General features: G+C 38.0%; 1 protein-coding gene across 39 annotated transcripts in view; it reads left to right on the top strand.

Moving 5' to 3' along the window:
* RARS2 (arginyl-tRNA synthetase 2, mitochondrial) overlaps nucleotides 1-27,750 on the top strand; it is a 76,050-nt gene that overhangs the window by 25,881 nt on the left and 22,419 nt on the right. For 23 of the 39 annotated variants that reach the window (NR_134857.2, NR_146756.2, NR_146757.2 and 20 more), the window contains 5 exons: nucleotides 1,322-1,405; nucleotides 8,602-8,699; nucleotides 15,461-15,516; nucleotides 18,408-18,491; nucleotides 22,113-22,189. Coding sequence is in view for 16 of the 39 variants with exons in the window: in NM_001350505.2 (NP_001337434.1) it covers nucleotides 1,322-1,405; nucleotides 8,602-8,699; nucleotides 15,461-15,516; nucleotides 18,408-18,491; nucleotides 22,113-22,189 (399 nt within the window). In the remaining 23 variants the exon portion in view is untranslated. Of the gene's footprint in view, nucleotides 1-1,321; nucleotides 1,406-8,601; nucleotides 8,700-10,914; nucleotides 11,077-15,460; nucleotides 15,517-18,407; nucleotides 18,492-22,112; nucleotides 22,190-27,750 lie in introns of those variants that run through there. The other 16 variants (NR_146747.2, NR_146758.2, NR_146759.2 and 13 more) reach the window with 8 other exon arrangements.

The raw sequence follows: 27,750 nt of genomic DNA, 5'->3' as shown, positions 1-27,750 counted from the left end.
TTTGACATTGTAATAAACTTGTTATTAAAAAAAGTACTTTGCAGGCTATCTCAGCCATAATAGTGAATTTAATAGTGTTTCTTTGAGGCATCTTGTGTAATATAATTTAAATTCATTTTAGCCATGTACTATAAGGTTATAATGATTTTTCAGATTAGTTATAAAGCACTCCTCTTGAGCTGACATTGTTCAATTTTTTGATTAACCACTTACAGGAAGACTGAAGTGTTAATTAAATTTACAGATTGAAGCTGGATGGACTTTTGAATTTAGGAGAACAAGCTTGATAAATTAGAGCAGTGAGTTGCAATTTTTAAAATGAGTTTCTGAAAAGATGAACATTGAAATATGAGAAGAAATGATTAGATGTAAATAGAATCATGATTACAGAGAAGAGGTGGTTAGATGATTTAATAAGCCTCTTTCATTTCTAAGTTCTCTGATGGGTTTGATATCTAACAGAGGAATTGAAAGGATTGCAAGGAATTACTAAACATAAATTGTTAGTGTAATTCCCTCAGAAAAGGCAGATAATGTTGGACAAGGTTATTAACATACATCCACAGAGTCAGTGTCTGGGAACTCAAAAGAATTGGAACAATGAAAGTCACTATCATAGAAAAAGATGCTTATTTAAAGGGTGACTATGATAAAGGAGCATTGGTAGCTTAGTAAATATTTATTTGATCAGAAAATCACTCCCAGATATTTACCAGGAATAGAATTATTCAAAATACAGTATTTAGTTCCTTTTCCCCATTTCTTGTAAGTTCTTAAAAATAAAGACTAGTTGCTCTTTAGTGACAGCAGATATCTCTTCAAGTTCCATAGGTTTTTCATGAGATGGCTTCGAACATCTAATAGGTTAAAAAGTGAAGGCATATGCATAGAAGACAGACTATCTAAATTACATCTTATCTGTTGGTGCAGGTGCTTTAGCGTAGACCCTGACAGAATGTCATGTTCTGTGGCTCTCATGAAAGCTAGGTGAGATAAAAAGTGTTCATCGTATGTCAGAGTAGGTAGAATATGGGTAGAGTGATTTTTCTTACTTGTTACAAGGTGAATTTGAGGGGAGGGAAAGAGAATGAGGAAGAGAGAGACTGAATACAGAATAGCATGTTAGTTGGGAAAAAAAGAAAATGTGTTTACTTAAATAGAAGTATGGAACTAAAGAGATTGCCTGAGAACTGGGACCCGATATAGGGACCATGAAAGATGACTTACTTGTGTCTTTGTAAGCCAAAAATAGCATTAGAACTACCTATCTCATTAGGCCTATTATATAACATACCTACTTTGTGTGATTTGTTCTTTTCAGCTAAGATGTGATACAGTGGTGAGTGAAATCAGTACTGGTCAAAGGACTGTAAATTTCAAAATAAACAGAGAGCTCTTAACAAAGGTAAGAATAAGTTAATATCCAGCCATTGTGCTTTCATTCTGTCTGCTTCAGCCACAGTGGTCTTCCTCCAGTTTTTAAATTCTTTATGCCTCCTCTGGCCTCAAAACCTTTGCACATACTGATCCATAACTTGGAGAGTACCACCCCAAGTTAACACCTACTCATCCTTTAAATCTTGATATTTCTTTGGCAGTAGCTTTCTGACCCCTTCATTTATATGCTCTCATAGCACTGTATAGTCATATACCACATAATGACATTTCATACACAACGTGTATAGATGATGGTCCCATAAGACAATACCATATTTTTACTGTACCTTTCTGTGTTTAGATATATTTAAGTATACAGACACTATTATGATACAGTTGCATACAATATTCAGTACAGTGACATGCTGTACAGGTTTGTAGCCTAGGAGCAATAGGCTGTAGCATACAGCCTAGGCGTATAGTAGACTGTATCATCTAGGTTTGTATAAGCACTTGGGAGGCTGAGGCAGGAGGATCACTTGAGCCCGGAAGTTCAAGACCAGCCCTGGCAGCATATCTCTACAAAAAAATTTAAAAATTAGCCACACATGATAGTTTGCGCCTGTAGTCCCAACTGCTCTGGAGGCTGAGGTGGGAGGATCGCTTGAGCCTGGGAGTTTGAGGTTGCAATGAGCTGTGATTGTGCTATTGCACTCCAACCTTGGTGACAGAGCGAGACCTTGTCTCAAAATAAAAATTTCAATGGCCATGAATTTTCAAGCTTTATTGCAATTAACAAACTAAAGAATTTTTCTGATTTAAGGATACCCATTAGCTCACTTATTAAAAATATTCCCAAATCCTTCTCAATTGACATTGAAGGGACAAGAGTCAGGGCTTTGAAGTCCAACTACTCTTTCTCACATGGGAATTCTTCCGTATTGCAGCCTTGAGGATCTGAATCTTAGTGAGAATTTGAATAAAGGAGCAAGCGGACTGCTTACAGTTGCCCTGCTCAGTGTCACAGTAAAATCAGATCCTGGAGCAGTGAGCACTCATGTTCAGAAAAAGACTATTGAATGTACCTCTGCTTTGTGTTACAATTTTAATGATAATTCTTCTTTACTGAAAATTTAATGTATTCTACATTTGGCTGTCAACCTAAAAGGAGGAAACTGAGGCAAAATTAATATAAGTAGAGAGTTTACTTGGGCCAGGCTTGAGGATTGCAGCTGAGGAGCACAGATTCAAGTTGCCGTGAATATACCCTTTGATAGGCAGCAGTTACAAGTGGATTTTTAAAGGGAAAGAAGAGGGAGTTTGAGTTGTTAACCAGAATTTACATTAAAATAATGTAAGCTATTGATAGGCTGTATATTTTTCTTTGTGTCACAAATGCCAGTAACATGAAGATAATGTGTGAGGCAGCTAGTTGGGAACAAAATCACATAAAACAATTGCCCCCACCCATAGGAGGAAGAGTTTGTGCATAACTGATGTTTGATATGCATGTCTTTCTGGGCCTGCATACCTCACATAGCTGAGACTACTCTGAGCTATTTTTCTTTTCTCAAGCTTATAGCATCTGTTTTTCTCACGTATTGGATCTCTAGTTTTATAATTTTAACTGTTTTACAGTCCATTTTTTAATAAGTAGGATAATACTCTAAAATAATGATTAAAAGTAAATATATAAATCACTAACATAGTCATTTATAATGAAGTATTATGTACTGTACATAATTGTATGTGCTATACTTTTATACAACTGGCAGTGCAGTAAGTTGGTTTACACCATAAGTTTTAGGTCTCAGATGATGGTCATTTGCATGGTTTTTTTTGAGACGGAGTTTTGCTCTTGTTGCCCAGGCTGGAGTGCAATGGCACGATCTTTGCTTACCGTAACCTCCACCTCCCGGGTTCAAGCGATTCTCCTGCCTCTGCCTCCCCAGGTAGCTGGGATTACAGGCATGCACCACCGCGCCCAGCTAATTTTGTATTTTTAGTTTCTCCATGTTGGTCAGGCTGGTCTTGAACTCCCAGCCTCGGGTAATCCACCCACCTCACCCTCCCAAAGTGCTGGCATTACAGGCGTGAGCCACCGTGCCCTGCCATCATTTGCATATTTAATGGATTTTTCAGATCACATCAAGAAAAAAAATTCGATTCTTGTTAGGACCAACAAAGAATTAATATATCTTTGTTTGAGAAATAACCATAATGACATTGCAAAGAACTGTCACTTTGGTACCAAACTTCTACCTGTCAGTAGCTTGCAGTACTTTCAAGAGAAACTGTAACTTCAAATAATATTTAATTGTTAAAAGGGAAAAAAGAAAGTATGATCTCAACCAAATAGGAAAAATTCAAACAAAACCCTGTTTTCTTAGGGATGCTTCAGAAATACACAATGGATAACATCATTTTATTTCACGCTTTTTAATTTGCCAAATTAAACTTTGCATGTTTAACCAAAAGTAAAAGAAAAAGTTAAATTTAAAAATCTCTTAAACCGTTCAAATCATTGAAGGGTTTAAATAAAACAGACTTGATTAAATGTTTGTGCTATGTAAAAAGATAATTAGGTGTTATTGTTTTGTTATATAGTCGTGTGTTGCTTAACAATGGGATACATTCATAGAAATGTGTCCATAGGTGGTTTTGTTATTATGGGACATCATAGAGTGTACTTACACAAACCTAGATGATAAAACCGACTACACGGACCTAGGCCATAAACTTGTGCATCATGTAAAATACCAAATACTGTATTTGTGCAATTGTGACACAGTGGTATTTGTATCTTAACATGTCTAAACATAGGAAGGGTACAGTAAAAATATGGTATTAAATATAAAAGATGCTATACCTGTATTTACCATGAATGGAGCTTGCAGGACTGGAAGTTGCTCTGGGTGAGTGAGTGGTGAGTGCATGTGAAGGCCTAGGACATTACACTACTGTAGACATTATAAACATGGTACACTTAGGTTACAATGGGTTTATAAAAAAATATTTTTCCTTGTATCATAACTTCAGAATAAAATAATAAAAATTAAAAAATATTTTTCTTGCCTGGACATGGTGGCTCACGCCTGTAATTCCAGCACTTTGAGAGGCTGAGGCAGGAGAATCACTTGAGCCCAGGAGTGTTAGGGCTGCAATGAACTAGGATAACACTGCTGTACAGGATCACACTGCTGTACTCCAGCCTGGGTGACACAGCAAGACCCTGTCTCTTTTTTTTTTTTTTTTTTTTTTTTTTTGAGACAGAGTTTCACTCTTGTTGCCCAGGCTGGAGTGCAATGGCACAGCCTCAGCTCCCACCTCCGCCCCCCAGGTTCAAGCGATTCTCCTGCCTCAGCCTCCCAAGTAGCTGGGATTATAGGTGCCCGCCACCATGCCTGGCTAGAGACCCTGTCTCTAAAAAATAAATATTTTTCTTTCTTCAATGATAAATTAACCTTAGCTGACTGTAACATTTTTATTTTATAAACTTTTCATTTTTTAAACTTTTTTCTTCTATTTATTTTTCTTTATATCTCAGCTTGTTTAACTTTTCAGCTGTTTTGTAATAACAGCTTAAAACAAGCACATTATACAATTGTACAAAAATATATCCTTATTCTGTAAGCTTTTTCTAATTTTTTAATTTACTTTTTAGACTTTTTTGTTAAAAGCCAAGACACAAACACATTAGCCTTAGCCTACACAGGGTCAGGATCATCAATATCACTGTCTTCACCTCCACATCTTGTCCCACTGGAAAGTCTTCAGGGGCAGTAACACACATGAAGCTGTCATCTCCTATGATGACAGTGCCTTCTGGAGTATCTCCTGAAGGACCTGCCTGAGGCACTTTTACAGTTAATTGTTTTTAATAAGTATAAGGAGTACACTTTAAAATTATGATTTTAAATATAGTAGGTTAAATACATAAATCAGTACAGTCCTTTATTATTATCAAGTATCATGATGTACATAATTGTATGTGCTATACTTTTATTTGACTGGCAGCCTAGCCTAGTAGGTTTGTTTACATCAGTGTTACCACAAACATGTGAGTAATGCATTGCACTAGGCATTATGACCTGCTGCAACATTGCTGAGTGATAAGAATTTTTCAGCTCCATTATAGTCTTAATGGGACCACCATTGTATATATGTGGTTCATCACTGACTGACACATTGTTACTTGGTGCATTACTGTAGGTGTTGTTTTTGCAGTGGTATAGCTGACAGATGAGGGCCTAAACCAGGGCAGAGGAACCAGTTATTAAATAACTGTAATGATATTTAGGAGATAACACACACAGGGCCCAGTGATTAACAGGTGATTGATTACAGAGGTTGAGGGAATAAGGTTAAGTGTTAGGGACTCCTAGGTTTCTGAGTAGGTTAGTTGGGTGAGTGGTAGTGCAGTTTGTGGAAATAGACAGTGTAGATGGAAGAACAAGTGTATTTTCTGTGAAATGCCTGAAAAGCATATCCAGTCTGTAGCAATAGAGAGATTAAGTAATTAGTATTTGAAGTCTTTTTTTTTTTTTTCTTTGAGACGGAGTTTTGCTCTTGTTGCCCATGCTGGAGTGCAATGGCGTGATCTTGGCTCATTGCAACCTCCATCTCCCAGGTTCAAGGGATTCTCCTGCCTCAGCTTCCCAAGTAGCTGGGGTTACAGGCGCCTACCACCACACCTGGCTAATTTTTTGTATTTTTAGTAGAGATGGGGTTTCACCATGTTGGTCAGGCTGGTCTTGAACTCCTGTCCTCAGGTGATCCTTCTGCCTCAGCCTCCCAAAGTGCTGGGATTATAGGTGTGAGCCACCATGCCTGGCCAAGTATTTGAAATCTTAAGGGAGTGGTTTAAGTCACCTAAAAGTGTAAAATAAAAAGCTAGAAGCAAGAATGGAGCACAGAGTGCAGAGTCAAGGGCAGATGGTGGAAGAAGAGCCTACAAAGGAAATTGAGAAGCAAAAGTTGAGAGAGAATTGTGTCTTTACAACCAAGGAAAGAGGATAGTTGCAAGAAGGGAGTAGTCACCAGGTAAGATGATGTTTGAAAAGTGTTTACTCCTGAGGAAGGAGGGAAGGAATTAGGATAAGGACAGATGATCGAAAGGGACTTCAGCCTTATTTTAAATGATCAATTTTTTAAAAATTATTAATGTTGCCTTTTTGTTGTTTGTGCCAGATAAATCAGTAGATAGAGGGTTATTGTTAAAGAGAATTCTAACTTACTACGATTAACTGTTGTGGAGTCTGCCATTCATTACATAAAAAGGAGAAGAAGTGGGAAAGATTTGTAGACTTTCAACTTAGAATAATCTGAATCTGGATTTCTTCTTACTGATGTGTTCTTGTCATATATATTCTTGGACTAATAATACTGGGACCCTAGTTTACGACAGACACTATTCTGTATACTGTCTATATATTGTATTAATCCTTTATGTGTTTCTTATTGCACAATGTGAGTCAAGAGAGTATTATTTTCTCTACGTCCTTGTGCACATACATACTATTTCTGAACCTTAGTTTTTGCATCCATTAAATGGGAAATGTTGCCCATCTTTAAGATTATGAGGCTTAAAGACAACGGGTACTGTAGGAGCACTTGGTCTTGGACCTAGCACTTTATGCTTCTTAAATGTCGATTGTTATGTACTGGCTGCTGCTCCCTTCTCTGCCTGTTCCATTTAGAGACCATTTTAACCAACTCTTTAATAATAAAATTTTTCACAACATAAACCACATTTTTAAGACTCAAGATGCATTTTGGGGCCAGGCATGGTGGCTCATACCTATAATCCCAGCACTTTAGGAGGCTAAGGTGTCAGGATCATTTGAGCCCAGGAGTTCAAGACCAGCCTGGGCGACAGAGTGAGCGAGAGACCCTGTCTATTAAAAAGAAAAAAAAAAAATTTTTTTTTTTTTTTTTTTGAGACAGAGTCTCACTCTGCGCCCAGGCTGGAGTGCAGTGGCGCGATCTCGGCTTACTGCAACCTCTGCTTCCCAGGTTCAAGCAATTCTCCTGTCTCAGCCTCCCAAGTAGCTGGGACTACAGGCGCATGCCACCATGTCTGGTTAATTTTTTTTTAAAATTTTTTTAGTAGAGATGGGGTTTCACCATGTTGGCCAGGATGGTCTCAATCTCCTGACCTCGTGATCCACCTGCCTCAGCCTCCCAAAGTGCTGGGGTTACAGGCGTGATCCACTGTGCCCTTCCAAAAAAAATTTTGTTTTAATTAGCTGGGTGTGGTAGCATGTACCTGTAGTCGCAGCTACTCTGGAGGCTGAGGTGGTAGGATTGCTTAGGTAGGAAGGTCGTTTGAGTCTGATTGAGGCTTCAGTGAGCCGTGATTGCACCACTGCACTCAGCCTGGGAGACAGAGTAAGGCCTGTCTCAAAAATATAAAAATAAAAGTAAAATATAGATGCAGTTAGGGAAACAAAACCAACTAATATGAGTAAACAAAAGTTCATCACCATTAACATAAAATATGAATTTTGTGAACTATATATCATAGTTCTATGTTAATAACTAAAAACTAACCTGGAATATGTTTGGGAAGTTTCTGTGGGATTTCCTTGTTTCTCACTTGTGTAGCCAATAGGCATTATACATTTTTATCTTTTTCCTACCATTGCTTGTGGTCTTTAATATCACAAAAGCTGCAGCAGCATGCAGCAGTTAACAGGTTAACTGTGAAGTGGAAAAGTTCTTTTCTGCACTATTTAATCCCTCAGTACTTTTCTTTCTTTGTTAAAATAGTTCTTACCTCTATGGCTGTCGTGAGGAGTAAGTAAGTTAATGCATATAAAATGCTTGGAACAGTGGCTGGCACATAGTATGAACTCAATAAGTGTTAAATGGTGCTTCTGGTTTTGTTGTTAATATTTACTGTGGGACTTTTGGTTGTTACTTTACTTCACCAAGCTTCAGTTTCCTTCTCTGTAAAATACCTACATAACTGGTTACTGTAAGAATGAATAGACATGGAGTATAAAAGGGCACAGAACCCTTGTAAATGTTAACTCATGTTACTACTATGACTAGCATTAGTAACAAGAAAAGTGGTGCTGGAGGTAGTGCCACTGAGGATGCTAAGAAATTCTCAGTTCCATAAATTAGAGTGAACAAATTGGCAACATTTAATTCTCAGTAACAGAGTAATTAAAAGCATTGTAATTTTTGTTCATTAAATTACAGTCCTTTAATTTTCAGACAGTGCTACAACAAGTAATTGAAGATGGCTCAAAATATGGATTAAAAAGTGAACTTTTCTCTGGACTTCCCCAGAAGAAGATTGTGGTTGAATTCAGGTGAGGGTGCACCCCTTTTATGTGTTGCTTAATCAAGTTGACTGGGCAGAGGAGTGTTATTACCATCATTATTTGGGGGTCTTAATAAATAACATGTGGAAAACTTGAAAACCAGTGCAATTATGTTATTTCTTGAAATCACAGTGAATCAATCATTGAACTGTGAATAAAAAATATATTTTTGGACCTCCAAAAATGTCTAATAATTATTATTTTTTTAAGTATTAACAATTACTTTTTTGGAAGAACTAGTTATTCACTTTATTTATTTATTTATTTATTTATTTATTTATTTATTTATTTATTTTTGAGACGGAGTCTCACTCTGTCGCCCAGGCTGGAGTGGCGAGATCTCAGCTCACTGCAAGCTCCACCTCCTGGGTTCACGCCATTCTCCTGCCTCAGCCTCCTGAGTAGCTGGGACTACAGGCGCCCGCCACCATACCTGGCTAATTTTTTTTGGATTTTTAGTAGAGACAGGGTTTCACTGTGTTAGCCAGGATGGTCTCCATCTCCTGACCTCGTGATCTGCCCATCTCAGCCTCCCAAAAAGTGCTGGGATTACAGGCGTGAGCCACTGTGCCTGACTAGTTATTTACTTTAATAGACTGTTAAGGCAGAGGTAATGGTTACTACCATATTAGGAATTTTAAAGTGGCCAGACATGGTGGCTCAGCCTGTAATCCTAGCACTTTGGAAGGCAAGGTGGGAGGATCACTTGAGGCCAAGAGTTCGAGACCAGCCTGGGCAACGCAGACCTCGCCTCTTAAAAAAAATAGAAAAATTAGTTGTGCATGGTGGCACACTCCTGTAGTGACAGCTACTTGGGAAGCTGAGGAGGAAAGATGGCTTGAGCCTAGGAATTCAAGGTTACAGTGAGCTGTGATTGTCATGCACTCTAGCTCTGGTAAGACACACCAAGACCCTGTGTCAAAAAAAATTTTTTTAAGTAATTTGATTACCAGAGAAACAAGTCTTTTAGTATTTGTAATAAATGTATTTTTTTAATTACCAGAAAAATAGCTTGAAGTTTTGATGTGCCTCTAAATAGTCTTCATAACTTTCTAACGTGCTGTCAGTATAACTGTCTGATATTTGGACTGTTAGAGGTAACCAAGAGAGAAAAGGGAACACTAAGAACTAATACTTTCATTGTACAGCCGACAGATTGACAACCCTAGGAAATTATCAGAGATGTTGCATTTGTCTTCCTAAAGCTGAAGAACAGTCTTGATGGACTGTTTTTCTACTTAGAAAGATAGAACTTGCTAAGAGCCTTTTGTCTTATTAAGTATTTATGTCTGTGGAAGATTTTTAAAAATTGATATGGGAAGTATTATCTCATGTTTACTAACTCATTATTGCAGTTTAATAGCTTTTAAACTTAGTTATGATTAGCTCCTGGACAATCAGAGAAAGAGCGGGTTTTATGCATGTGTACCGTCTGCCACTCACTTGTCTTCTTAAAGAAGGCAGACCCTCTAAGAGCAAACTCATGAATTTGTAATAAGGACCAATTACTGATTAAGCTTCTACTCCTATGGAGTAGACACATATTATGAATGACTCTAAAACTGCCAGTACACCACAATTATGATTTTTAAAGTTGAGTTTAAATATTTGTTGCATCACAAAGAGTAGAGGGATTCCTACAGTCATCTTCACACTAGAGAGGAACTACACTAAGGCCATCTCCTAAGGAAATTTGCCTGCTTTATCTCCACTTGAATAAGAAACCACTGCAAACCTTAGTGTAGGGATTGTTAAACCTAAGCCCATAGGCAACATCCAGTTTGCCGCTTGTTTTTGCAAATAAAGTTTTGTTGGAACACAGCCATGCACATTTGTTTACATCATCTACATTGGCTGCTTTCATATTGCAATGGCAGTTGAACACAGTAGAGCTGAGTTGAATAGTTGCGACAGATCAGATGGCCCAAAAGCCTATTAAAATATTTACTCTCTGGCTCTTCAAGAAAAAAAAATGCCAGCTTCTGATTAGTGTTTTAAAACAACATCCATTTTGGTACTTATGACACCATGGATTAGGAAATGGGGAGAGAGGGGTATTTCAGGCCAGTGGTTCTTCTACTTGCCTGAGGTCACTTATGTAACTGCGGTCATCTAGAGACTAGTGGGGCTACAAATCAAAAATGGCTCTTTACTTCTCTAGCCAGGCATCTCTCTCTCTCCCACCACATTGTCTCTCCCGCAGGGTAGCAAGACCTCTTTACAAAGGTACTCAAGGCTCTAAGATAGTGAAATCATCTAGTCTTGAAACAGGCACAGCATCATTTTTGTCACTTTCTGCTGATGAAAGCAAGTCACAAGATCACCCCAGATTCAAGGGAAGAAAAATAGAGTACATCTCTTAATGGTGAGAGAAGCAAAGAATTTGTGGTCATCTTTGATTATTTTCATTCATGTCTTTAAATTAAAGGACATACTGCTTTCTTCACTGGGGAGGCACTTCATTACCATATTACTCTTAAACCCCTTTCAATTACCTAACTGGCAAATAAAGGAAAATCAGCAGGGAGGTAATATATTACCTGTTACCGTACATTCATCCTTGAAATAATGCCATTATAAAGTTTCCTAAAATTTGAAAAGTTGCCACCATTACTTACCTTCTTTTGCATTTTTTTTTTCAGCTTCACCATCTTTTTACTCCAGCTAAGCTCTAGAAATACTGTGGCTTCAGTCTTCCTTACTCATTGATTCCCTGGCTTTCCTCTTAAGTTTTGGTTTCCCATATACTGCTCCTTTTTTTTATGCTTTTAAAAAATATCTAAAAATAACCTGTTCTATGTGAGTTGTATTCTGTAGGCTTTTTGTATGGCAGTTAATTTGCTTATGGATTTACCTCTCTTAGCTTTTTTCTAAAGCAGTTAAGGAAAGCTGGAATTTAAATGAGTGTCTGAATGCTGGTGAAGGCAGAGCCTGTCTATCTCCTAGCAGCCATCTTTGCCTCTGACAGTTCACATGTGGCATTGTTGTGAGACCATTGCTTCTCTCTCCCTTAGAGGTTTTCCAGGTGCTATAGTTCTTGCTGTTGTGATTTCAAAGTAGAGACAAAATAGGTAGGGACAGGAAGATTGTTCTTGGATTTCTTCTGAAAATGAGAGAGGTGGGAGAAGAGAATTTTTAAAATATGTAGTATCCTGAACAGACCAAGCAACATTCCCCAGAAAACAAGAGATACCACTGTGCTCAAGAAACTTTCTCCCTAAATTGAGTTGATTATGATAATACTAGATTAAGTAACTTGCCCAGGTTCACAGAGCTAACTCTTGATTCTGAAACCTGTATACTTAACTTTTACTGCCTCCCTGGTACGTAGTGTAGGTTGTCATATATTTTGTCTGATTTAGGAGCAGTGTGATAAAGTACAGGATAAATGGCTGTCCATCATAGATTTGGACTCCTCGTGGTAGATGGTGTAAGACTTGAAGCTAATTACTGTTTCCTCTCTAATCTCTCTCTAGTCAGCCTCTCCTATTTTGTACAAATCAGCTCTGTAAGATCATGGGAAGCAGTGGTAGCCTTTTCTTTTCTTTTCTCAACATGATTTTCCCCAACTCCTGCTGTTCCCAAGTGTGAGACACTCTTCTCGCAAAACAGATTGGAGACCTCTGGCTGGTAAAATGAGAATTGTGGAGGTCAGGGTAGCAGTTCTGACTGTTAGTAACTGGCTCAGTGATCTTGAATGGGACAGTTTATTTCTCTGGCCTCTTATCTGGAAAATAAGAGTAATCTTTTTTTTTTTTTTTTTTTTTTTGTTGAGACGGAGTCTTGCTGTCTCGCTCAGGCTGGAGTGCAGTGGCATGATTCATTGCAGCCTCTGCCTCCCCGGTTCAAGCAATTCTCCTGCCTCAGCCTCCCCAGTAGAGTAGCTGGACTACAGGCATGCACCACCACGCCCAGCTAATTTTTCTATTTTTAATAGAGACAGGATTTCACCATGTTGGTCAGGCTGGTCTCAAACTCCTGACTTCAAGTGATCCACCCAGCTCGGCCTCCCAAAATGCTGGTATTATAGACGTGAGCGACCATGCCCGGCCAAGAGTGATGTTATCTGTCCCTTCTTAACAAAAATTAAGGAAATTACATGAAGTAATTTAACAAAAGTCCCAGTAAGATGCCCAAATTATAATTCATAATAGCTACTTCAGTTGCCAAAAGAATTGAATTTGTATCTTCCATTTCATTGTATTCCCTTCTCAGTAGAAATATGGTATCAGAGAGAAGCAAATTGTTGATTTCAAGGGACATTTTGTCAAAACTTGAAGACCTGGATAGATTCAATTTTTCTAATACCGGAGGGAAAATGGAAAGCTCTGTGAAAGTTTTTTTTTGTTTTTGTTTTTGTTTTTGTTTTTCTTAACAGACATTATAAATACCTAGTTTTTTAAAAATTCAGAGATTACAAAGAGATATTTAATGAAAAGGAAAGCTCTTCCCCATCTCAGTTTCCTCTGTGGGTATCTATTAATCCGAATATCAGTGTTTTATTCACCCTCCTAGAGATGTTCTATGCATTTGTAAACAGACTATACATATTTTACATTGTTTTCACTTCTTGCTTTTTTTTTTTTTCTTAAATAATGTATTTTATGTTCCTTTAATATGAATGCATCCAGGGCTGGCTTATTATTTTTATTGTTCCATTGTATTCTATTCTTTTTTTTTTTTTTTCTTAAATCGGCTTCATTGAGGGATAAGTACATACAATACTTATTTAAACATATAATTTCACCATATTTAAACATATAATTTGATGAGTTTTGGCAAAGATATGCAAGTTGTGTAACTACCTCCACAATTATATAGAGCTGTTTTTCTGGGGTTTTTTATTTCTATTGATTTTTTTTGCTTTACTTTTATCTGTATTATTTTCTTTTATTCTGCTTGCTTTGGATTTAGTTTGCTCTACTTTTTCTAGTTTCTTAAAGGAGAAGCTCAGATTATTGATTTAAAACCTTTTTTCTAATATAAACATTTCATGTTGTAGATTTTTCTGCTTTAGCTACATCCAACAAATGTACTAGTAAGGCAGCAATGTGGTGCAGCGCTAGGACTCCCCTTGTTTGCTCTTCTCTCAGACATCACAGTCCTTCACTGACTATTGTCCAGATTCATAAAATCAGTGTTTCATCTATTTTTCTGGCTTTCTGATTATTTAAAGGCAGAAGAGTAAATCCAATCTTCTTTTGGCTGGAAATGGAAGGTTTTTTTTTAAGCCTTTAAGATGACATTTACTTTCTTTCTAAACAATGATTAAATAAATACGTGTGTAGTTTCATAATTTCATAATTGTGCACACATATCCATAGGATCAAGTTTTTAAATCGTAGTACCCTTAAGGGTGTATAACAAGACTTTGGAGACAGACCAGAATTTAAACTCTAGTTTTACCACTTTTAACCAGCTATGTTCAAGTTAATTTATCTTTTTTTAAATATTGAAAAACTTATGAGATTTTCAAACATGCACAAAACAGGGAACAGTATAATTAACCCCCATATGTTCATTACACATATTCAAGAGTCATCAAGATATTGCCATATTTGCTTCATCATCTCTCTTCGTTGTCCCAGTTCCCTCATCTGTAAAATAAAAGATAAAAGCACATATGAGTATTAAATGAGTTAATGCCCATGAAGTGTGTGAAGCTGTGCCTGTCAGGTAGTGAGTGCTCTAGAAGCATTTGCTATGTTAAATGATTGATTACAACTTCTTGAGCACACACGGGAGTGATAAATGTGTTGATTGGGAATTTGGAGTGGTGAGCCACATTCTGATTGTTCTGGGAGGTTTTATGCATAAATATTTTTACATGTTTTTTTTTTTTTAATTTTACAGACAGAATCTTACTCTGTCACCCAGGCTGAAGTGCAGTCATCGTAGTTCACTGTAACTTTGAGCTCCTGGGCCCAAGCTACCGTTCTACTTTAGCCTTCTAAGTAGCTAGGACTACAAGCATGCACCACCACACCTGACTAATTTATTTATTTATTTATTTATTTTATTTTTTATTTTTATTTTTTTGAGACAGAGTTTTGCTCTCATCACCCAGACTAGAGTACAATGTCGTGATCTCGGCTCACTGCAACCTCCGCCTCCCAGGTTCAAGCCATTCTCCTGCCTCAGCCTCCCAAATAGCTGGGATTACAGGCATACACCACCACACCTCGCTAATTTTTTGTATTTTTAGTAGAATCAGGGTTTCACCATGTTGGCCAGGATGGTCTAGAACTCCTGGCCTCAAGTGATCCATCTGCCTCGGCCTCCCAAAGTGCTGGGATTACAGGAGTGAGCCACCACACCCAGCCACCTGACTAAAAAAAATTTTTTTTGTAGAGACAGTCTTGATATGTTGCCCAGGCTAGTCTCAAACTTCTGGCCTCAAGCAGTCTTCCCATCTCAGTCTCCCAAAGTGCTGAGATTACAGGCATGAGCCATTGTGCTGGGGGTATTTTTACATTTTTAAATTTTGATTTCTGATACAGTAAATACTAGCAGATACCACTTACGTGAATGCTATTACTTCAGGAGTCACAAGATCAATTTCATTAACACAATGTCAAAATTTCGAGTTCTAATTTATCTTTGCTCTAAATTTTTAACTTTTAACTTATCTTTGCCCTAATACCAAAGGCCATACTCCACAGTTTTGTCAAAGTATGGAGGCATGACCTAGTTGATTCTTAGAAGTCTTAAGTCTTAGAATAGAGAAATGTTTCCCATTTTTTTTGCAGTTCACCTAATGTTGCCAAAAAATTTCATGTTGGACATTTGCGTTCTACCATCATAGGTAAGTGTTTAGTTTCACATAAAATGCTAAACGTTCCTTTGAGGAAGTATTTGATAGTTCAATTTAATGTTTTAATGCTTAAATAACAAAATAGCAAAAAACAAAAAGTTTAAATTTATATGAGCCTCCTGCCAATTCAGGAAATGGATGACATTGGTTACACTGTTTTGTGGAAACACAAAATTGATTTCAAAACCAAAAGATTCACTGAGAAACTAATTTTAACTGCTATATATGTTATGATTTTTAACTTTCTAAAAATAAGTATAAATATGGGGAAGACCTGAAAGATGCAAAAGTAAAAATAGTTATGTGGGGATGTATAACCTTTCAGATTTTTTTGTTCATTTATTTTGTGGTTTTTTTGTCACTTAGGCTGGAGTGCAGTGGCGCAATCTTGGCTCACTGCAACCTCTGCCTCCCAGGTTCAAAGGATTCTCCTGCCTCAGCCTCCCAAGTTGCTGGGATTACAGGCGTGCGCCACCATGCCTGGCTAATTTTTGTATTTTTAGTAGAGACAAGGTTTCTACTTAATAACAATTTTTGTCAAAATTAAAAAACACGAATAACAATTTTTGTTAAAAATTCACCTCGGTCATGTGAGCACTTAGTGGAATGTTCAAGACTGGAAGTTAAAACAAGACTATTTCTGGCCGGGCATAGTGGCTCACACCTGTAATCCTAGCACTTTGGGAGGCTGAAGCAGGCAGATCATTTAAGGTCAGGAGTTCGCGACCAGCCTGGCCAACATGGTGAAACCCCATCTTTACTAAAAATACAAAAAATCAGCTGGTGTGATGGTGTGCACCTGTAATCCCAGCTACTCAGGAGGCTGAGGTGGGAGAATCGCTTGAACCCGGGAGGCAGAGGTTGCAGTGAGCTGCGCACCACTGCACTACAGCCTGGGTGACAGAGCTAGGTTCTGTCTCAAAAAAAAAAAGAAAAGAAAAAAGACTATTTCAATAAATAGAGATTACTATATAGTACTTCATAGTTGTAATGCTTCAGTGTATAATATACTTACGATTTTCATTTAACACATGTCATACAGCAGGTCAATTTAAAAACTGAAATTAAAATTATATAATATTAGAATTGGAAGGGACTTTGGAGTTTATCTCAATCTAATCTCACTTCCAATGTAGAAATCTGTCCTATTGCATGCTTAAGAGAAAGTTGTTTAACCTGTACTTCAATACTTTTCAGAATTGGAGAAATTAGTACTTGTGGCATAGATTGTTGTGCGGTCAGCTCTTACTGTTCTTGAGCAGCATTTTAAGAGAAGAAATGACAGGACTTGATGAAAAAGTATAAGAAATATACAGTATAAAAAAAGCTATATGAGTAAGTCAAAAGTATAGGAGTGAGTAAATGATGGGTAGGGTATGATAAAGTTGTTTTCACAGTTGAGGGAAATATTTGGACCAGTTAGAGATAATATTTGAGAACTTAACATGCTGTGTCTTCATGTATTATATCATTCAATTTTATAACAGCCCAGTTTGGTAAATACTGTTAACTCTGGTTTATGGATGAAGAAATTCAGCAGCCAAAAGTAACTTTCCCAACATCCCAAAGTATTGTAGCCAGGATTTGAAATTAGGCAGTCTAATTCCAGAAGTCTAGGTTCAGACATTTAATTGGATTTGTGATATAACAAGGGGCTAAGAAAAAAATAGGAATATGCCATCTGTGTGCCAGCTGGAAAAACAGGTTCCAGTTGCAGGGACTTTATAGATTGGGAAAGTCTACAACTAGGGAAGCTGGAAAAGAAGATAGCTGCAGTAGTTTAAGTCAGGTATGGATATTGGTGAGGGTTTATTTGCAAAAAACTAAATCCATTCTTAGTAAAGGCAGAAGAGGATTTATTGTAGAATATTGAATGGTTTACAAAGTTGTTGGAGGGCTGCAGAAGCTTTGGATTAAGCTGACATAAATAACTCCCAAAACTGCACTATGGAACCTTGTCATCAAGGGAGCTCCTGCCTCTTCTGCAATCCCTTGCACTGCTCTAGAACCATGCTGCCACTGCCATGGTCAAGAAAATGCCACTACTCCTGCCATGCCATCTAGAATTCATACAGGCATAAGAGGCAGCCCCATATACTTTCAATTTCTTTGGTGGCCATCATGGAATACTAGGACCTCTGTTCATGGTGTCACAAAAAAACACAGCCCCCACCACTGTGCTTGTCATAAAAAAATAGAAGTAGCTCACCTTCCAAATCTTACAGACACTGTATCTGATTGCCCAAACCTAGAAGACTACTGGAACTCTAACCACAGGAGACTCTGGGAATTGTACTTTTTACATTTTCAGCCTCGGCAGTAGATGAGGGCACCCAAGAAGGAAAGCAGAATAGATGTTGAGTGTGAAACCAGCATCAGCAGTATGGGAAAGTGAAGGCCTTAGATTATTACATGCTGTTAGGGAGCAGGCATGCAGAGGGTAGATGTTAGTGATTAAAAGGAGATAGAATGAGCTATTTAGAAAACACAAAAAGGGAAAATACAACAGTGAGGCTTCGGTTCTTAGGGCACAGACAAATATATTTCTTGTTAATTACTGGGATTTTTTTTTTTTCTCTTCTTGAAATTGACTAGAATAGCAGTTACTCTAACATGTCCTCAAATCCTATTAATAATGTAGGTGAAAGTTCTGTTACTGTGAAAATGTGAGATTCTTTGGAATAACTGCCCTACAAGTAATTTCTTACTCCCTTTCCATAACACATGAAAACACAATGATGAATGTTTTAGTAAAAAACATTGAGTTGGTAAATTTAGTGAAAAGAATTTTCTACTTATGTTTGATAATAGAGAAGTACATGGTTCTTATGTCAAAAAATGGATAACAAGAATGAGAAACTATATACTTTATTGATTACTAGGAAATTTTATAGCAAATCTCAAAGAAGCTTTAGGACATCAAGTAATAAGAATAAATTACCTTGGCGATTGGGGCATGCAGTTTGGTAAGTACACTTGAGATTTTATTTTTCATTTCATTGTAAAATTCAATTTGTAAAAACTTTGATCTGGACAGAATATAGGCAGAATCCCATTGGATGAAGTAGTATGTCCTACCTATTTTTTTTTTTTTTTCCCTAATGGCTCTTTTGCATAAAATCTTCTATTTATTTGAGTAATTCTCACCACACAAGTTACCTTTGGGGAAGGTAACTTCACACATTCAAAGAAGACCTGGGCCAGGCATGGTATTTCACTCCTGTAATGCCAACACTTTGGGAGGCCAAGGCGGGTGGATCACTTGAGCCCAGGAGTTTGAGACCAGCCTGAGCAACATGGCGAAATCCTGTCTTTACAAAATACAAAAAAATTAGCTAGACATGGTGGCATGCCCTTGTAGTCCTAGCTACTCGGAAGCCTGAGGTAAGAGGATCGTGTTAGCCCAGGAGGTCAAGACTGCAGTCCACTGCACCCAGCGTGGTTGACAGAGCAGGACCTTGTCTCAAGAAAGAAACCCCAGAGTAAGACCTGATGTAGGCTTTTGTGGTTTTAATAAAGAGAAATTGCCTACTTTTATTAGTTAAATGTAGAAGTGAGTATACAGGGAAGAAGTAAGTCTAACTGTGTACACCTTTCTCAACCACAGCCCTGCCATTTTTCAATCTAAGGACATCCAGCCTCCCTGGGCCATTCTACATGAAGTAGGATCCCCTGTTATACCATAGCCAGTGGCCCAGAAGATAAGCAAAGGGTGATACTTTGTCTTCCCCTTTAACTGTACAGTGAGAGGTAGGAGTGGGTTGGGGAAAGTCCAAAAGGAAAAGAGAAAAAGAGAGGAGTGCGATCCAAACAGTTAAGTACTACCACAAATTATCTCTCATATAATGAGTTTACTCAGAACCATTCCTAATTCATGTAAACCAGTAATCAAGGTGTGAGAGGGCAAGGTAAATGAAGTTGTTATGGTAGTGAAGGACGGGGTAGATTGTGAAATACAAACTTAAAAAAAAATCTGTTGTTACCACCATGTGTATTTTAAGAAACAGCTCTAGTATCATTTCTATAAAGCATTCTCTGACACAAAGACACACCCTTGCCCATCTTCTCACATCACCAATTTCCTGGTATCCAGCTCTACTCAAGTATGGTAAGGCTCCTGTCTTATGTTCTTATTTGTGTGCTTCCCTGCCCTACTAGGCATGTTCCTTGAAGGCGTGGACTTAACTTTTATATCTACAGTGCTTGTCACATAAGAAGCACTCTAAGAAGAGTAGACCTTGAACCTGTTAACAGAACCATTACTGTTCACTATGGAAGAATCAGAATACATGCCCTGCATTTAAAAAATCAACCTGTAGTTCACAACAGCTGGTAGTCAGAGGGCTAGGCCCTAGGCTCAATAGTCAGACTTAATAGATAGCACTGATTTTTATTAATTTGACCGATTTAGACATTTCAGAGGCATTAGCAAATATGTGATTAGGGTATTCATTAAATTTTAGCTGCAGGATTTCGTTACAGCAGTTTTTTCTCTAAAGGACTGCTGTGGTTAATGATCTGTCAGCATTTCCATTATAACCATCACTGTTAAAGAATATTTTTGCTGTTTCAGCTATCTCCATTTGAAAGTTGGCAGTTTCTAAGCACAGAATTAGTTTTTGAAAATGTATTAGGCTGAATGTTAAATGGAATTGGCCCTTACTTTTCCCATTTTTGTGTTTTGGAACACTGAGCATCTTTCCACACACTGCTCCAACCACCCTGAATTATAATCACATTTGCTCTTGCTTGAAAGTTAATAGAGCTTCAGTCATCCTTCTTGTTCCTAAGTTCCAAAGTATTGTATATTCCTGTGTCCTGTGTTCAGTCACGTCCCACTTTCTACTGAACCTTGAATAGAAAAATGTGTATCAGTAAAGCCCTTTAGATCTGAAGCTTGGTAATTGATATAGAAATAAATTGTTTTTTTTTTTTCTTTCTGAGATGGAGTCTCGCTCTGTCACCCAGGCTGGCGTGCAGTGGCACCATCTCAGCTCGCTGCAACCTCCGCCTCCCAGGTTCAAGTGATTCTCCTGCCTCAGCCTCCCGAGTAGCTGGGATCATAGGCATGCACCACCATGCCAGGCTAATTTTGTATTTTTAGTAGAGACAGGGTTTTGCCATGTTCATCAGGCTGGTGTCAAACTCCTGACCTCAAGTGATTCGCCCACCTCGGCCTCCCAAAGTGCTGGGATTACAGGAGTGAGTCATCACCCCCGGCCAATAAGTTGGTTTTGTTTTTTTGCTTTTGTTTTTGTTTTTGTTTTTGTTTTTGTTTTGAGACAGAGTTTGCTCTTGTTGCCCAGGCTGGAATGCAATGGCGGGATCTCGGCTCACCGCAACCTCCGCCTCCCAGGTTCAAGCGATTCTCCTGTCTCACTTTCCCTGGTAGCTGGGTTTACAGGCATGTGCCACCATGCCAGGCTAATTTTGTATTTTTTTAGTAGAGACAGGGTTTCTCCTTGTTGGTCAGGCTGGTCTCAAATGCCTGACCTCAGGTGATCCACCCACCTTGGCCTCCCAATGTGCTGGGATTACAGGCATGAGCCACTGCATCCAGCCATAAATTGGTTTTTAAAGTAATAAAACTAATGTTCCTCTTTTTTTTTTTTATTATTTTATACTTTAAGTTCTAGGGTACATGTGCACAACGTGCAGGTTTGTTACATATGTATACATGTGCCATGTTGGTGTGCTGCACCCATTAACTCGTCATTTAACATTAGGTATATCTCCTAATGCTATCCCTCCCGCCTCCCAACTAATATTCCTCTTAACCCAGGCTGCATATATCCTTTCTAACGGAAGTTATGATCATCTTTATGCAGAATATCTTGAGTCTACATACTCCCAGACTGTACTAGGAATTTTGATATGTAGTTTACCAACCTCAGTTTTTGGTGTTTGGGTTTTTTTTTTTCTTTTTTTTTTTAGGTTCAAATTAACACTATCCCTGAACTCTGAATTTATCATCAAAGACTAAAAAATTATACACAGTCAAATTAAAGATTTTTGTTGCTTGGCTACCTTGAACCTGAGAAATAATCAAGGATGTTCCAAGTTTTACCTTGCTGTTTTCCTCCAATTTTGTTTAAGAACTAATATAACAACAAAACCATTGCTGTCTTCGCATTAATGCCTACAAGTTTAAAAAGAAAGTTTGAAAACAGTTTCCATCAGTTTTTTTAATAAATTTTGAGTGCCTAGTGTCTAGCTTCATGATGTCACTTCAACAGAGTAGATGCTTAATAAATGTTTATTTTTTAATGTCTGCTAGGGTGGTGTTCAGCACTGTTAGTACAAAGATAAATTAGTCCTAGACTTTACCTTTGATGAGCTCATAACCTATTGGTTTCTGTGAGCTTAATTTCAGTGATCTATTCAGTATGTTGAATTTATGATTAAATATATTGAATTTGACTTGTGTCAGATTATGGGGTCATAGAAGGTAAAAGTGTGTTTTGTAATACTTCTCAGGATACATAATATGACAGGTTGGTCTTTTTATAGAATTATACCTATTCCCTGTCATGCCTATTCTCTGTTGTTCAACTTTATAATTTTTCATTTACGGATTATCATGGTAGGTCTTCTGGGAACTGGCTTCCAGCTGTTTGGCTATGAGGAAAAACTGCAGTCCAATCCTCTACAGCATCTCTTTGAAGTAAGTTGGCAAGAAAACATTTCAAAAATTTTTCAGAGTACTATGTAGCTTAGTAACATGTTTTTAATCCCAGAGGTTTATTTTTCTTTATTTTGAGACAGGGTCTCGCTCTGTTGCCCAGGCTGGAGTGCAGTGGTGCAATCTCAGCTCACTGCAACCTCTGCCTCCTGGGTTCAAGCAATTCTCATGCCTCAGCCTCCCAAGTAGCTGGGACTACAGGCGTATGCCACCATAACCAGCTAATTTTTGTATTTTTAGTAGAGATGGGGTTTCTCCATGTTGGCCAGGCAGGTCTCAAACTCCTGACCTCAGGTAATCCACCCACCTTGGCCTCCCAAAGTGCTGGGATTACAGGCGTGAGTCACCACGCCCAGCCTCCAGAGGTTTAAAAAATATGTTCTTTAAAACAAGGAACCAAAACATAATTGAAAATGTTGCTTTTGGCTGGGCACAGTGACTCACACTTGCATCCCAGCACTTTGGGAGGCCAAGGCAGGAGGATTGCTTGACACCAGGAGTTCAAGACCAGTTTGGGCAACATAATGAGACCTGGCCTCTATAAAGTAATAAAATATTAGCCAGGCACAGTGGCCTGTGCCTGTAGTCCTAGTTACTGGGGAGACTGAGGCAGGAGGATTGCTAGACCCCAGGGGTTCAAGGCTACAGTGAGCTGTAGTCATGACACTGCACTCCAGCCTGGACAACAGAGCAAGACCCTGTCTCAGAAAGAAAGAAAATGTTGCACTTATTTTACTAGGTTATTTTTATTTCCTAATCTAAGATTTTTTAAATGTCCTTTTAGTTGATTTGGGACAGTATTTCTTCAGGTATAGAATCTTTTAGAATAAACATGCAAGATAATTATTCGACACAGAAATTTCTCAATTTTCTGTCAGTTAATATGTACTGCAGCTTTTTTCGTGGTAATAACTGTATATCAATTAGACTTGAAAAATGAGTATTTTTGTTCTTTTTCTGGTGTGGGGGACAGCATGTCTATTTCTCTCTGAAATTGTGTGTGCTTTTTCCATTTACATCTTTCACCTCCTTTTCCTGGCTTTTGTCCAAGGTGAATTTCTGCCTACTCTATTTCATTTAGTCCCTTGGATACTTTGCTTCTTTATCTTCAGTTCTTCCTGAAGTTTATTAATAAAGCCCTTCCTGTCCAAACAATCTCCAGGGATGTGTTTCCTTTTTGTTGTCCCTGTTGTTATCTCTGCCGTTTCTGGGCCTCACAGTGGAAACGCGGATACGAAGTCAGCCATATTGGTGACAGATCAGGGGATCAGACTAAACATGTTCTGCTTGTGTGTGAGAAAAAGCACTTGCAAAAATAATGCTTTACTTCTCCAGCTTAAGCCACAGAGGGTGCTTCATCATTTTCCTGTTAACGTGATTTTTTCCTGCAGCTGGCTTTGCAGTTAAATTGAACAAAAACATATTCCAGTTTTTTTTTTTTTTTTTTTTTTTTGAGGAGTCTCACACTGTTGCCTAGGCTGAAGTGCAATGGTGTGATCTTGGCTCACTGCAACCTCTGCCTCCTGGGTTGAAGCAGTTCTGCCTCAGCCTCACGAGTAGCTGGGATTACAGGTGCCCAGCACCACACCCAGCTATTTTTTTTTTGTATTTTTTAGTAGAGACAGGGTTTCACTATGTTGTCCAGGCTGGTCTTGAACTCCTGATCTCATGATCAGCCCACCTCGGCCTCCCAAAGTGCTGGGATTACAGGTGTTAGCCACCGCACCTAGCCCATATTCCAGTTCTTAAAGACCTTTAAAGGTTTGCCATTTTCCCCTGAGTCCATGCCAACACTGCACTCTAAATGACTGCATTTTGATTTATCATGTTAACCAAAAGATTTCTTCTCTCTTTCCCATTAAGAGTTTTATTGATAGGGAGGAATATAAAAATTAATAATTCTTCATGGTTGTCTATAAAGTATGTTCCCTTAGTGCCTGGAGTTTTTACTGTATTTATTTATTTATTTTTACACTTGAATAATTTTACCTCAAGCTTAATCTTTCATGAGATCCAGGCCCACAGATGTTATATGTAAAAATGTTTATTTAGAAATAGCATGCTTGTTCCCCGGTGCCACAAAGAAATAGCACTTGAACATAAATTTAATTATCTCAGCAAGGCCATTTTTACTCTCTGCAGAAAGGGTACACTCGCCAGCAGTTTTGCCACGAGAGTATACCGAACAAAGGAGACAGGGTCATTTATAACTTGACACATCCACCTTACTGCTGTGTCTGGTTTCCATTGGCTGGAACGGAACCTCACATTCTGTATTTGTCCCGATTGGCTAGCAACTTTAACTTTTCAAAAGAGGCAAAGGCAGGGGAGAACAAAGGAAGCAGGAAGTAACTTGTGAAATGCTGAGAAAGGTAAAAACACCTCCAAATAAGGAAGAGGAACAGGCTGTCACCTAATGCTTGCTTGGACCAATGTAAGCATGCCAAGGCAGATATTTAGGCTAAATTGTAGGAGCTAAGAACACAAAGTATATTGATTTCTTTATTACGGCTAGCAGATATTTAAGGATGTTATGACAGGTCTTTGAATAAATTTTACTTCTAAGAGAAGTCACTATTTGTCCTTAATTAGACGGGGAGGAAAGTGTCTTTGAAGGGGAACCTCTACTTCACTTTTTACACAGAGACACCCCATGTTGCAGAAAATACAAATACCTGCTTGGAGACCTTGTGTCATTGATTTAGAGTGCAGCATGACATGTGAGAGTTATTCTTTTTATCTTTCTTCTTCCCCACCTCAAAAGTTTTTATTTAATCTTGCAAATAGTAAACCTTTGTCTTCTATGACATTTTATTTTTATCTTTTATTTATTTATTTATTCATTTATTTATTTATTTATTTATGTGAGACAGGATCTTACTCTGTTGCCCAGCCTGGAATATAGTGGCACAATCACGGCTCACTGCAGCCTTGACCTCCCAGGCTCAGGTGATTCTCCCACCTCAGCAACCCAAGTAGCTAGGACTACAAGCACACACCAGCACACCCAACTAATTTTTTGATTTTTTATAGAGACAGGGTCTCCCTATGTTGCCCAGGCTGGTCTCAAACTCTTGGGCTCAAACAGTCCTCCTGCCTCAAACTCCCAAAGTGCTGGGATTATAGGTGTGAGCCACCACACCCAACCTATTTTTTAATTTTTTAAATAACAATAGGGTCTTGCTATGCTGTCCAGGCAGGTCTCAAACTCCTAGCTTCAAGTGATCCTCCCACCTCAGCCTCCCAAAGTATTGGAATTACAGACATGAGCCACTGTGCCTAGCCATATATAGGTGTAGGTTTTGTGGGTTTTTTTGTGGAGGTGAAGTCTCACTGTTGCTGAGGCTGTACAATATTTTAAATATTTCAGGGGAATCTGTCTTCAAACTCCACAGAAACCTAAGAATATATTTCTTTCTATGCAGTTTAATATAATTTCCTGCCTTTAGAGACTCAAAAATAGTGGAAGATCAACATCTATGTTAGAGGTTATTTACTGATGGGTACACATATGGAAGGAATAAGGGCAATAAGGTACTTCTGTGAATAACTAAAAAGTCGAATAATAATGGTGTTGCTTTCATTAGTGTTCTTTTGCCGAATAGATTCACTGGGAAACTGCATTTAAAGACAAAAGAAGGCAAGATACACCCACTTTGCTATTTGTAATAGACGACAAGACCATTAGAGTATTCAGTTGCTCTTTTCCTTCTCCTTTTGCAGGACAGAAAATATGCAAAGCCTAAAATGGCAGCCTACAGGTTATTATATATGCAAATTTTATAGACTCTGTTTTCATTTTAAAATTACATTTGTCACTTTGGATTACTTTCAAAAACAACTGTTAGCATAAATGAGGAATTTTTTTGAGCTTTAAGCAAATGTTGATGTTATTCTGTTTCTAAAAGAAAATCTGAATGTCAACAACTCAATTTATTTAATAATTGAAAGATGCCTTTGCTTGCCCTGCAATGTCACAAATAGCGTAGGTGGTAATACAGAGACTCTGCCCCATCGTTATTTCTGGTCACCAGAAAGGTGACCAGAAAGTCAGAGATCGTGATTCTATGCTTGGAAAGTGCTTGGTGTATTGGTAAATAATGTTGGCTGATTTATTCGAAGGAAAACTTTAAGATAATCTGCATTTACTCTTTCTTATTTGTGAAAATCTGTTTTCTCAAAGCTTTGATGGAACCCTTGTTTTTTTTCCATATCAAGTTGTAGTTAGTAGTGAGCTCTTTGAGAGGAAGGACCATGTCTTCCTTACCTTCCTTATCCACAACCCTAAATATTATGGCTTGCAGTAAATGCCTGAATGAATTTGCTTTTATAGTTCTCTTTTGCCCCCTTTTCTAATTATATATAATTTGTGGAATATAAAATGTATTGTTTGTCCAGGAAATAAGTAACTATTATAGGATACACTAATTACCATTTGTCAGAATTTAACTTACTTTGTTAACATAGTTTACTGCAGAGGAAACCACAGGCCAAACCCAGGATTCCGGCACAGGTAGTCTGGCTCCTGAGTGCTCTATGCAGTGAATGTCCCCACACCCCCACTATAGAATGGCTTTATGAACCATTGATTTCCATTGGTTTAATTATGTACATAGAATTTTCCTTTCTTTCATCCCTTGAGTTGCTATACCAGGGACACAATTAGTAGTTTAGTTTTGGCACTTTCAACCTTCTGGCATATTTGTTTTGAATTTGGCATAGGCCATCCAGTAGCAGATTTTATGGCCTGCCTTCCTCTAAATTGAACTATGATCAGTATTCTCTAAATTGCACTATAATCAGTATTAGTATATTCAGTTTCTCAGCTAGCTTGGAAATGATATTGTATGATAGTTTCAGAATTTCTTTGATGAAAATATTTAACACCCACAGTCATTTATTGCATTTCCATTTTGGTGCATATGCTTCACTAGTGGTTTTTCTCTGTACCTTATAGCATTCTTTTCCCATGACATCTAGCTGTTTTGTACGTGGGACCTAGGATTTTGTTGGCAAGCATTTGAAACTTTTTCTTTAATTATTCTAATTTGGTTTTTTTGGTTACAAAACAGGGAAGTAGTTTTGTTATAGTTCCTCTTCCCTTGTGAATTGGCTGTTAAATAACTAATATATTTTTTTTATTTAGAATTCACATTAGTGATTCAGGAAAACATTTGCAATAAGCTTTAGACAATATATCAAAAAGCCTTTCCACTTATATTGAAAAGTAATTTCTTTTTTTTTCTTTCTTTTTTTTTTTTTCGTGATGGGGTCTTGCCCTGTTGCCCAGGCTGGAGTGCAGTGGCGTGATCTCAGCTCACTGCAACCTCTGCCTCCCGGGTTCAAATGATTCTCCTGCCTCAGCCTCCTGAGTAGCTGGGATTACAGGTGTGCACTACCACGCCCAGCTAATTTTTTTGTATTTTTGCTAGAGACGGGGTTTCACCATGTTGGCCAGGCTGGTCTCAAACTCCTGACCTTGTGATCCGCCCACCTTGGCCTCACAAAATGCTGGGATTACAGGTGTGAGCCACCACGCCCAG

The sequence above is a fragment of the Homo sapiens genome, chromosome 6 (genome assembly GCF_000001405.40).
Source record: "Homo sapiens chromosome 6, GRCh38.p14 Primary Assembly".
In the NCBI taxonomy this organism is placed as follows: domain Eukaryota; kingdom Metazoa; phylum Chordata; class Mammalia; order Primates; family Hominidae; genus Homo; species Homo sapiens.
The sequence above is the reverse complement of the archived record's forward strand: the minus strand, read 5'-3'. Positions and strand labels throughout refer to the sequence as shown.